The 11,819-nt window shown below is 47.9% G+C and overlaps 1 long non-coding RNA gene across 2 annotated transcripts, besides 1 other annotated feature; it reads left to right on the top strand.

The window, feature by feature from the left end:
- Nucleotides 5,980-9,872, top strand: LOC105373352 (uncharacterized). 2 transcript variants are annotated; one of them, NR_136168.1, is made up of 3 exons: nucleotides 5,980-6,118; nucleotides 6,888-6,995; nucleotides 7,857-9,872. It is a non-coding gene; the product is annotated as an uncharacterized LOC105373352 (long non-coding RNA). The 2 variants fall into 2 exon arrangements; NR_136169.1 differs by having other exon boundaries at nucleotides 5,980-6,056.
- Nucleotides 10,448-10,997: an enhancer, noted in NCBI's record as "H3K4me1 hESC enhancer chr2:562669-563218 (GRCh37/hg19 assembly coordinates)". NCBI's record gives its function as "activates a minimal SCP1, AML or CMV promoter by ChIP-STARR-seq in naive H9 embryonic stem cells {active_cell/tissue: H9 hESC(naive)}" and the evidence as "EXISTENCE:reporter gene assay evidence [ECO:0000049][PMID:30033119]".

Consider the following 11,819-nt stretch of genomic DNA (forward strand, 5'->3'; position numbering starts at 1 on the left):
CCTGTTCCACTCTGGCCGCCCCACAAAACAGAGAAATGTCTGCACATCTGTGAGCTGATGCCAGAGACAGAAAGTGTGTCTAAAAGCAGAACATCCCCAGGCCTTCCCATGCACATCGTATGTATCAAGGAGTCTCTGAAGCCAATTTATACTAAAACTACGGCTTCCTTCACCTCCTAGCCAGCCCTGCCCCACCCACCGCCGCACACTGACCAGCTCTTCCACACTAAGGGAAATCCATTTAAAAATAGCCTAATTGAACCTGATTAGGTGTTGCTGCCAAAACGATATGCATTCCTCTTTCAGAGCTGTATAGAGGAGGCCTGGTGGCCATGGGCTTGGACCGAGCCTGCTCTTCTGCACATGGATGGCTGAGTGTTGGCAGGATCCCATTTCTACGTCAATATATTAGGCATTTCCATCAAATGCTTCAGGATATGAGAATGCAGCTACATGTCACACAGGTCTTGTTTCAAAAACTTAATCCCCATGAAAGTTTCTGATTGTACCCCAGATGGTAGTGTGTAACTTGCTTCTCCATCAGGGAAAGTCCTGCTGTCCATGTGAGGCTCTGGCTCTCCCATTTTCCACCCCTGGGCTGTGATCACAGCAGAGCAGGCTTCTAGAATGCATGTCCCCAGCACCCCATCCTTGCAGCAATGGCGAGGAGACAGCAAAGCTCCTGGGAACCTGCGCACTCGACTCACAGGGACGTCCCTCCAGAATCCAACCTCCAGGTTCCCACAAACGGCTACGACTGTGGCTTCAGGAAGCACGACTCGTTCTGCATGCAGCTTTCTCATTTGAAAAACAGAACTAATGTTGTCGTTCTGTATTTAGCTTTCTCATTTGAAAAACAGAACTAATGTTGATTTTTCCTGTGCGTGGCACGTGGTGCATAAAAGCCTGCGCTTTCTTTTCTGAGTCAGGTCCCCTTACATGCAGGGCACGCTGTTGGAGCCCTCAGTGGCGCTGCATGGTATGGGCAGGGCTGAGGGAGGGCTGCCCACACGAAAGGACACTTTTCCTTGCTGGGGACACTTGGCTTATCTGATGTCAATTCCCCTGGGTTATGTCTGATTTTTCAGAAAAGAACAGTGCGTTCTGGCCATTCTGGGACCTAAGCAGGGGCCAGCCAGACCTCAGCATCCTTCACATCTGTCCTGCTGGCCACGGTGTCTGGGGAGAGCTGTGCCACCCCCCTGCTCTGATCACACCTACCTTCTCCGGGGGACTGGCTGGTGCCCAGGGTGGGAAATGAAACATGTCTTCAATTGTTGAGGATTCACTACACATTTCTGTGTACTTCAGCAAAAACTCACGGATGGCCTGTGCTCCTAGCAGAAGGTGTGAGGGTCGCTGTGTTCCCAGGAGGAGGTCGGGTGGTGGGGGGGCTCCCTGTGCACCGGAAGGAGGTGGTGCGGGTCCCTGTCCACCCAGGAGGAGGTGGGGAGGATTCTGTAGTCCCAGGAGGAGGTGGGGAGGGTCCCTGTGCCCCCAGGAGGAGGTGGGGAGGGTCCCTGTGCCCCCAGGAGGAGGTGGGGAGGATTCTGTGCCCCCAGGAGGAGGTGGGGAGGGTTCCTGGGAGAATTGAGGCATGTGCTATCTTATCTGGCTTTTACACAGGTGAATAACGGGTCCAAGGCTACAGACATAGCAGGTGGTATGTCCAGAATTTTACCCCATTTGTCCTGTGCCAAATTCTGTTGATTTTGGTTAGTTAATTTACCTGGGCCCCTGACCCCCTAGTATATAAGGTGTGAGACCCCCTGAGGGTACAGCACCTGGTTCTTAATATATATTATAATGGCCCATCTTTTCTATTCGTTCCTGATAAAATGTTTCATTTTAACGAAGATCCGAGTGTTTTAAGGAAACTGAAGTTCGCGGAGCGGCTGCAGGACACCAGAAGCTGTTTTCCATCTGGTTCCTGCATTGTTTAATTTGTGCTTCACAGAGAGAGGTTTTATTCTCATTTGACAAGTAAGGTTTTAAAAAACTTAATAACTTCTTTTAAAAATCTGGTAAGGAATAGAACTTCATTTGCGTCCCTGGTTCAAATATTTTCATGACACTGGACACAGAAAACTATGGCTGGGTGTGTGGTAAGGGGAAAACCCGCTCCTTAAGGCAGCTTCCTGCGTGCCCACCGTGTTCGGGCCCCCGTGGGACTTGTCTCTGCCCACGTATAAGTTTTCATTCACAAAACCAGTTAAAAAGAAAACTCAACACTTTTCTCCATCATGGGAAACATTCAAATGCTTTGTATCATGAAGAATGCAGCCTTAAGACTGTCATCCTTCTAGGAAGAGAGCGGTTTTTACAATTCACAGTTTTTAGAACTGTCCTCATCCTGTTCTGATCTGGGGCCCTCCCTGCTCCGCCTGGGCTGTCACCGTGTCCTGGGGGTGACATGGGCCTGCTCCGCGGGGCGTGGAGACCGGGCCCTTCTTCCTGGGGGTGACGTGGGCCTGCTCCGCGGGGCGTGGAGACCGGACACTGCCTCCTGTGCTGTCATTCCGTGCTCCCATGGCTTTGTTTCCTTAGACTATTGCTTAATGTGAGTGTTGGTGGTGCCTGCTTTGTTTATGAGGACCTGAATTTAAAGAACCAATAATAGTTCACCTATTAAAATTTAAACTCTTGGGAGTATCTATTATTTAGAAAACTGAGGTCAAGTCTCCCCTCCAAAAACACTGTCTTGAAGATATTTTTTAAGCCAAATTTTTGAAAAAAGCTTCAATTAACAGAAAATCTACGGAGTCCTATTTCTGAAAATTATATTTTTAGGCTGAAAGTTCCACAATATCGCAGTGAACCTTTCCTCTAAATCAGTCTTTTTCACAGTCTGTCTCTGTTTCTCACACACACACATGCACACACACGCACACCGTGTTCACTGACTCGAGGTCTGTCTTCCCACTTGACTGTGTTCTGATTTTTTGTCATCTACCCTACACCTAACACAAGGACAATGAAACAACACTTGTTGAATACATGCAATGAATACAACAGGAATGATCATGTTCTCATGTTCAAGCCAATTTTCAAAGGTGGACTTATGAGCAGTGCCAGCATTTTCCAGGCCATGGTGAGCCTGTGGACTTGAACAGGGGGTCATGAGCAGGGTTGGAAGGCACTCAGAGCCTGTGGACTTGAACAGGGGGTCACGCGCAGGGTCAGAAGGCACTCACGACACAGGGCCTCTGCTCCTCCACGACCTCCCCTCGGTGACCCAGAGTGCCCTCTTGTCACAGCCTGTGGGGGAGACGAGGGTCTCAGGGCACTGTGGATCCCAGTGGGGCACGTGTCTACACACTCTCCTCACATGCCCCAGATCTGCGTCACTTTAAAATATTTTGATAGGTTATAAGTAAGGAAGATTGCTGCAGGACCAGTAAAAGTGTGCTCACAGATGATTTACAAAGTATCCTGAGAGATCTGGGGAGGCGAGAGCAACCTGCTCACAGATTTTGCCAAAATCAACATTTAAACAACTCCGTTTGGCAGAAGAGCAGCGCTATTGGAATTAGCCGGCAGCTCTTTCCTGCTGGGCCTCTGCCAGCCTCCAGACCCCACAGAGCAGAGGCTATGACTTAAAAGCAGCTAAAAAGCTTGAAGAAATAGAAGCCTGGATTAGGCAGAATATCCCAAACTTGAAACAGGCAGGTTCTTCCATGGACTTCTCTCTTTCCTCCTTTGACCCAGTGTTCACGATGAGTCCCCTTCCTCTCCTTCCACTGCCTCATTTTCCTGCACATTGTGCCGCCTTGAAACTTCCACCATATAATTGCTCTTGATTTTATATTTTGTATGTTCCCTTAGAAAGGTTTAAATATGATCATGTGCAGAGCCATTGGATAAATTTGTGGAATAACCAAAAATTACTATGCAAAGCTTTTCTGAGGGACATGGAACATTTTAATGCATTTTAATTGTTTCTCCTCTTAGTGATATGAACTAAAAATAAAATCCTAAGCGCCCCCCAACAACTGATGGAATGGCCACAGAAACCCCAGAAAAACCTTACAGCTGAGTTCCTGGCCATGATGGGATGGGAGGCTGGACGGGCCTCAGATACCCCTCCAGTTTACAGTTTAGACACAACAATAACCAGCTTTAAAACGGAGATTATAAAAACGAACAGAACAGACTCTTTGCGGCAATGAGATACCAAATTATGAACAGGACCTAAGGCCATTGCAGGCAAGGGTGAAGTCACACACCCCGCATGCAAAGAATCGACTGTCCTCACTGCCACCAGGTTTTTCTTCTTCTCTAGCAGCCGAACAAGCACTAGCCTTGAATCAACATGAAACCCATCGCAGCTCATCCAGCTCACAGACACTGCTCCGTGAGCCACAACTACAGCTCTGATTGCACAAGAGGCTGATTTCAGTAACTCTCTCCTAAGCGACCCCGGACCACAGACGGGTTCTGACCGGTTTACAGAGGCTGCCTTCACATTCTGAAAACACCTTTTGACATACAGGACCTGACGGTAATACATTTAAATATTACATCTCCACCCCAAGGTGAACATGAGTCGTATGTTACACACGTGTCTGTTTAACACGTGTCAGCACCACCTTTGTAAATATCTGCAGCTCTCCTGTGCCTGATGAATGGGTATCTTTAGCCAACTGTTCAGCCTGAAGCTCCTGCCCCAACCCCTCCTGCCGGAAGTGCCCATCTCTGGTCTTGGCAGGAGGCTGGACTTCCCAGCCCATAGGGTGGCCTCCTTGCAGGCTGTAACCCTTTACAAGAAATAAAGTCTTCTCTGCTTTTCCAAATTTATAAATTGTGGCTTTTTTAAAGTTAACGGTGGCTATCTTGCGAATCATTTACTGAACAATGATATTCGGCTATATGAGATGACTCATTTGCCTAAATGCTTCATCGCTGCTGTTTCGTTGGCATAATTACCTGATCAGGAGTTAGGCTCTGCTCCCTCATGTTTTGTTATTAGCCGCAGCAGTATCATAGGAACTTCCCTGAAAGAGGACCTCAGGTTCCCACCAGGCACTAGGACCTCATGTGTGTTTGCATTTCTGGGCATTCTTACGGAATATTTTAGGAAACAATAGTGCTTGCTTCTACTCTCGGATAAATGTATGCCATTTTCCCACGGTTTTGGTGTAAATGGCTGTGGGGATGGCTGTGGAGATGGATTAACTTTCATACATGAGCAAACCTTGGCTCTGGGTGGTTAGATCGGCAGAACGCCCTGCACAGCCTTGGACCGACCTGCCCGGGTTTCCAGGTGCACGCTCGGAAAGCAATGGCATCAGGGAGATTCTGTCACCTGCACATTTGCATCACTGAAGACTGTTTTGGCTGCAGATAAGCACACCCTGTCCTTACTTCAGTGACAAAACGTTTTCAAGATAGAGGGACCAGCTGGCGTTCAGGAGAAACAAGAACCCGGCTGCCCTGGGATGGAGCCCCGGTCCCTCCTGGACCCCGTCTGAAGACATAAAGGCGTCAGTTTCTTCCTAGTCACGTGGGAGGACGTAGAGCCCACTGCAGCTCTTGGCTGTGTTTTCAGAAAATGGCCCTTTTGCATCCTCTCGGTCACTGTCTGAGGACACGGAGCCCCGGACGCCTCTGCTGTTTCCTGCAGGAGGTTAGTCGGCTCCCAGCACCGTTCTCTGAGGAAACATCTGAGAGCTTCAACGCCCTTGGCGGAGTCCATTCTCCCAGACTTGATGGTTAGAGCATACAAGGCGTACAGACACACCAGGGTGCTGAGGTCCAATACACCCGCGACAAACAGCAATTTATCCACCCCCTTGTGCAAAACCCGGATCCGATGCCTCCTCTGCCTAACTCCAGTCACCCAGAGCCTCGTCTCGTGGGTCTCCAGCCTCCTGGTCCAATCGGCTGGGGCCGCCTCTCATCTTCCAGGACCCGCCCTCTCCCGCCGGAAGCGCCCTCCTCCTGGCGGAAACAGCTTCTCCCCGTCCCGCCCCTCAGTCTGCTCTTCACACGGATACCACGAATGCCACGGTGGCCTCCTGAAGACGGAGTCTGGTCTCACATTCCTCCAGCTTCCTGTGAGGCTTCCCCAAAAATGCAAATTCAATCACAAGGCGCCTGGGCTGACGTCTCCCCTCCTGTGCGTTCCCTTCTCCTGGGTCATCTGTCGCCCCCCCGCACTGTCCGTGGCTGCGTCTCCTCTCCTGTCCCTTCCGTTCTCCTGGGTCATCGCCCCCCAACCCCAACCCTCCATGGCCGCGTCGTCCCCGCTTCAACCCCACTGTCTATGGCTGCGTCTCCTCTCCTGTCCGTTCCCTTCTACTAGGTCATTGTCGCCCCCCCCCCCCCACATTGTCCTCACAGCTTCCTGGCTGCACTGGCGAGGGACATTTCCTTCCATTTCCAGTGAAAGGCCTTTGCCATATTAAATCAGTAAAACAAGAAAAACTCCCCCACCTCTTATCAGATTGGAGGGCACAGAAAGCACACGTGTTACATGCGTGGTGTGGACGTTTCCCATGTCATAATTTCAGATGCATAAACCCCAGCGAAGGGTGAGCGCACGGCATGGCACCTGCAGCATGGGGTTCACGTTCTGGAAGGTTCTGGCTGACTCCCACCCCGCCCTTCACTGGCCAAGTAAACTTGCAGAAGTTACTTAACCCTTGACCTAGAAGAGCCTCCTGTCACCTGAAAAGGGAAAGTCGGGATTGTAAGGAAAGGAATCTCATAGGGCTTCTCTGAGGAGACAAATCATTGGATTGGGCTTAGACGTTCCATCCGTGGCAAGGTATGAAAAACAAACAAAATGCCACCAGGTAGTAGCGTGACGTTCTGTCCCCGTTCCTGTCTTTGGTTTATAGCCTTTTCTTTCAGAGACGGAATGTTTCCGTGTTTTATATCCACAGATTTCCGGCTTTGCCCTTTGGAGCCTGAGGAGCAAGGGTAGAATGAGGATCGTGAGGTTCTTCAGAGGCAGTTACTCACGAGGTCACAGCGCAGAAACGGCAAGAAATGTCAGTTATAAAATGTCCATGTGCATTTTAAATGAATGGTTATTAAAATCCTTCTTTTTCCGTAAGGGATCTAAAAAATTAAACAATTTGTAACTCAAACACACTTGTCAGGTAGCCTGAGTCAAAACCAGGAGAGGCTCCATGGTCTGGAGTCTCCAGGTGCTCTCCTGGGTGAGGGTCTTGTTGCCTAAGGGGTTTATGTAATGAACTCATTCTAATACAAGCAAAACATGAGTCCCTCAGAGTTGTTCAAAAAATCAGGAAATAGGAAAAAATAAATAAATGAGAACAGAATATTGACAGGAGAGGAAAATGAAGAGTTACTGGGAGATTTGAAGGAGGGGAAATGGGCAAAGGGTAAATTTAGCAATTAGACTTAAAGTCAGTGGAGAATTAAGTGGAATAATCTATTCTTACATCCATGTATTTTGGTTTTAAAATTTTGATTAATATTCACTCAACACTAATTTCTAACAAAATAGAATATTTTCTTATTGTCTGTTTCCACCACTGAGCTTGTAATATATATCCACTAGTAATTTTAGTAGATCATAACCCCTCCAAAGGAGCCCATAGAATAAACTTATTTTTGAACAGTCACATTTTCTCCAATGAACTTTTTTATTTTCAAGTTTGAAAAGCTTTAGACATACAGAAAAGTAGAGTGAATAATGGAGACCGTAGCCAGGACTCAGATTTAGAAAAATAGGTTTAATCTGTTGTTATATGGCATTTGTGTCATACATTTGACTCATTTTTATAAAATGAAATCTAGAATTTATAAAATGTTGATTGAAAGGATTAGGAGTAAAGTTTAACCTGATGTTTATTTCTCCAAATCTCTTTGTTCTATGTTAACAGGTCAGGACAACTATGGATGTGAAGGATGGGAGAGGGGCCTCCTTCCGCATGAGGTCCCCAGAGGTATTTGTCTCCATCTAGAAACTGAGGGGCATTTGTCTCCATCCAGGACTTGGGGGGCCTCCTTCTCCATCCAGGACTGGGGTGTGTCCTTCTGCATCCAGGACAGGGGGACATCCTTCTCCATCCATGATTCAGAGTTCATCCTTCTCTATCCAGGAGAGGGGTTCATCCTTCTCCATCTAGGACTTGAGGGACATCCTTCTCCATCCAGGACTGAGAGGCATCCTTCTCCTTGCAGTACCTGAGGGACATCCTTCTCCATTCAGGACCTGAGGATGTCCTTCTCTGTACTCCCTTGGGACTGCACCCTTTCCTGTGCCATCCTTCAGAATGCTAGGCTGTCGCTGGTTGTGGATTGAACTCTAGCATCTTATCTCTATTCTAGGTGAATCCCTTCACATTTATAGTGATTTACCATTTAATCACTGTGCCATTTTCCCCAAAATATGTGGGGTTTGGGGTTTGGTTTTTGTTCTTACTTCTATTAATTCTTCGGTTCCCACCTCCAGTTGTTTTGTAATTTCTTTTACAACCTAATATGGTCCCATTTGGTAAGTATTACCATGTACTAGAAAATAATGTATATTCAGTATTTGTTGTGATTTTTAAACCTTTAATAAACTCATAAGATTTTTGTCTATTTTCCATTTAAATTGAGAAGTACGATCCCAATGTTCCTCTCTCGATCTGCTCCCGTTAGTCTCCATGTGTGTCCTGGAGGTGAGGTCAGCATTGGACTTAACCCTGTGTCACCTCCTTGGTTCTACTGCTCACCTGTGGCATCCATCCTGCTGTTTATTATTTTTTCCTTAAATTGTATTTGAACTATTAATTTTGCTACAGCAACTTGCTTTCTGTGAATATTTACTCAGTAGTTTCATTTCCATTCTTTTTTGCCCTTAATTTGAAAGTGCTGCTTTGCTATTGATAATTTTGTATTTTAATATGTGAGGTTAATTCCTCTGTGTTTGGTAGGAAAAAGTGATACATTTGAACTTATTTCTATTATGTGATTTTGGATTTTGGATTTGCAAAACTTTATCCTTGATTCTCTTTTCCTTTCTCCAGACTTATTTTCAACTGACATTTCCTTTTCCATTTCCTTCTTATGCTGATTTGTAGGTTTTCCAGCCTATTTACCGTTCTTTAGTGTCCTACATTTTAAAATAATTCTTAAATTATCGACTAATAATTTTAAGCATATTGGATTTGCGGTTTTCTCCCAGTGCTCTAGTTATAATCTCTTCTATCTTGTCATTTTATTCTTGTTATTTTTCTATTAATTCTTGAGATATAGGTATTAGAATTGTCAAATTGTGAATTTAAGCATTTACCCTTTAAATTTGGTTATTTTTGCTTCATATATTTTGTTATTTTGTATCAGGTGCATGCATGCTTATGATCATTAGGTTTTCTAAGCAAGTGGACTCATTAATATAAAATGTCCTTCTCTGTCCCTGGCGATGCTGGTCCTTCCTGTCGTCTGTCTCATCTGCCATCCATACACCTGTGCAGCCTCCTGATAACAAGTATTTCTGTGGTATACATTTGTCCATCTTTTCAGCTTGAATCTATTTGTATCTTTATCTTGAAAGAATGTTTCTTTGTAAAAGCATATCGAGGCTTGCTTTTTACCTGCATTGACAGTCTCTTTTTCACTGGCAGTGTTCAGTCAGTGCAGATCTGCTATTCCTGTGGTTGGGTTTAAGTCAGCACCTGAACCTGTTATTTCCTCTGTTCCGCTTTCCTGGTCTTCTGGATTATTGTAGTTTTGCTTTGTCTGTTTGTTTGTTTAATAAGAGTTTTTGGGTTGTCTTTTTAGTATGGATTTTGTACCTTGTTTTTTTTTAACTATGACTTCTTGTTTTATTTATTTTCAGTGAGTCATTTAGAAATTAAAATATAAATACTTAAAGTCTCATATTAAATAAAGATCATAACATTTTATACAAATATAAAATCCTTACTGCACCCTCCTCTCAGCTTCTGTACCATGTTGTCAGTGAGGTTTCTTCTGCATATGTTGTAATTTCCAGAGGATGTCATTAAAACAGTAATTTTCCCTCCACCATTTATTGTTTTTGGCACTCTTTAATCTTTTTTGTGAACTAGAATTTCCAATTGTTATCATTTTTCTTCATCCTGTTTGCATTTATTGTGGTTTGGGTGTGAGGACCACACAATCTCTCAGCCTTTGTTTAACTGAAAATGTACTTTTCTCAACTTCAGTTCTAAAGGCTACTTCAGCAGGTTCAGAATTCCAAGGAAACCTACTTTCAACAGTGTGAGGTCTGTACCCCGTAGTGCTCTGGGCACCGTCGTCTCTGATGAGGTGGCTGTAGCGGGAGACCTGGACCCTGTGGGGCTGCTGCATGGGGGGACACCCACGGTTCACCTGGACCCGACGGGGCTGCAGTGTGGGGGGACACCCACAGTTCACCTGGGCCCTGTGGGGCTGCCGCGTAGGGGGGGGACACCCACGGTTCACCTGGACCCTGCGAGGCTGCAGCGTGGGGGGACACCCACCATTCACCTGGACCCTGCGGGGCTGCAGCATGGGGGAGACACCCACTGTTCACCTGGACCCTGCGGGGCTGCAGCATGGGGGAGACACCCACTGTTCACCTGGGCCCTGTGGGGCTGTGGAGGGACACCCACCGTTCACCTGGGCCCTGCGGGGCTGTGGGGGGACACCCACCGTTCACCTGGGCCTGCAGGGCTGTGGGGGGACACCCACCGTTCACCTGGACCCTGCGGGACTGTGGGGGACACCCACCATTCACCTGGGCCTGCGGGGCTGTGGGGGGACACCCACTGTTCACCTGGGCCTGCGGGGCTGTCGGGGGACACCCACTGTTCACCTGGACCCTGTGGGGCTGCCGCATTGGGAGAGACCCCCACCATTCTCCTGGTGTCTGTGCTGCTTCCAGACCTGTGCCTCAGTCAGCCGGGTGTGGAGTGGCCAGGTCGCACATCAGCTGCAGGCACAGCCAGTTCATGGGTAGACAGCCACATCCTGCCCCAGGAGGAGGGCAGCCAGCATGGGCGATGCAAGCTCCCCTCGTCTGGAACCAGCACAACCTCAGGCACTCGAGCCTTGGCCCCTCACAAGCAACGTCCTCAATGGGTGGCGTTCGTTCATCTTGGAGGCATAGCTGGGACCCCAGGTGCTGCGGGACCCCAATTATGGTGAAATCCCGGGCACCATAGGCCCCCAGGCACAGAGAAATCCCAGGCATAGCGGGACCCCAGGTATGGTGAAATCCCAGGCACAGCGGGACCCCAGGCACAGAGAAATCCCAGGCATAGCGGGACCCCAGGTATGGTGAAATCCCAGGCACTGCGGGCCCCCAGGCACAGTGAAATCCCAGGCACGTTGAGTCCCAGGTCACACTGTGCGTGGCTCCCGCGGGTTTTGCATGCACGGGGCTTGCTCACTCTTTCTTGCTGGCTGAGCTTTTCCCAGCCTTATCTTTCCATGACCCCAACATGCCAGGCAGGCCACGTGTGTTGACTCCAGGACTCAGACATGGTTGCTAACACTCACCCTCTTCCTCACAGTCTAGATGGGAGGCTGCCCTCAGTGTCAGTGACCTGTCCCTCTCTGAGAGCCAGATTGCAAAGGCAGCAGCCCAGACAAGGGCCATTGCGACCAAAATGAGAAAGAAAAGCTCTTGCTGTTGCTCACTCTTCTGTTCTAGGGACAGGAGCTGCCCGGCTGGCTCCACCCCGGAACACAGGACCTGCCTCCAAGCTCCTTCGAGGTTGGGATCTGTGAGCAAACATAAAAACCGATCATCACAATAATTGCCACATCACAGAAGACTGTTGCATCCATGAATGCCTTTAATCCCCAGTCCGCTGGCCACGAAGCGGATTAGGAGAGAGAGGTTTAGTCCC

Source organism: Homo sapiens, chromosome 2, assembly GCF_000001405.40.
Source record: "Homo sapiens chromosome 2, GRCh38.p14 Primary Assembly".
Classification (NCBI taxonomy): Eukaryota; Metazoa; Chordata; class Mammalia; order Primates; family Hominidae; genus Homo; species Homo sapiens.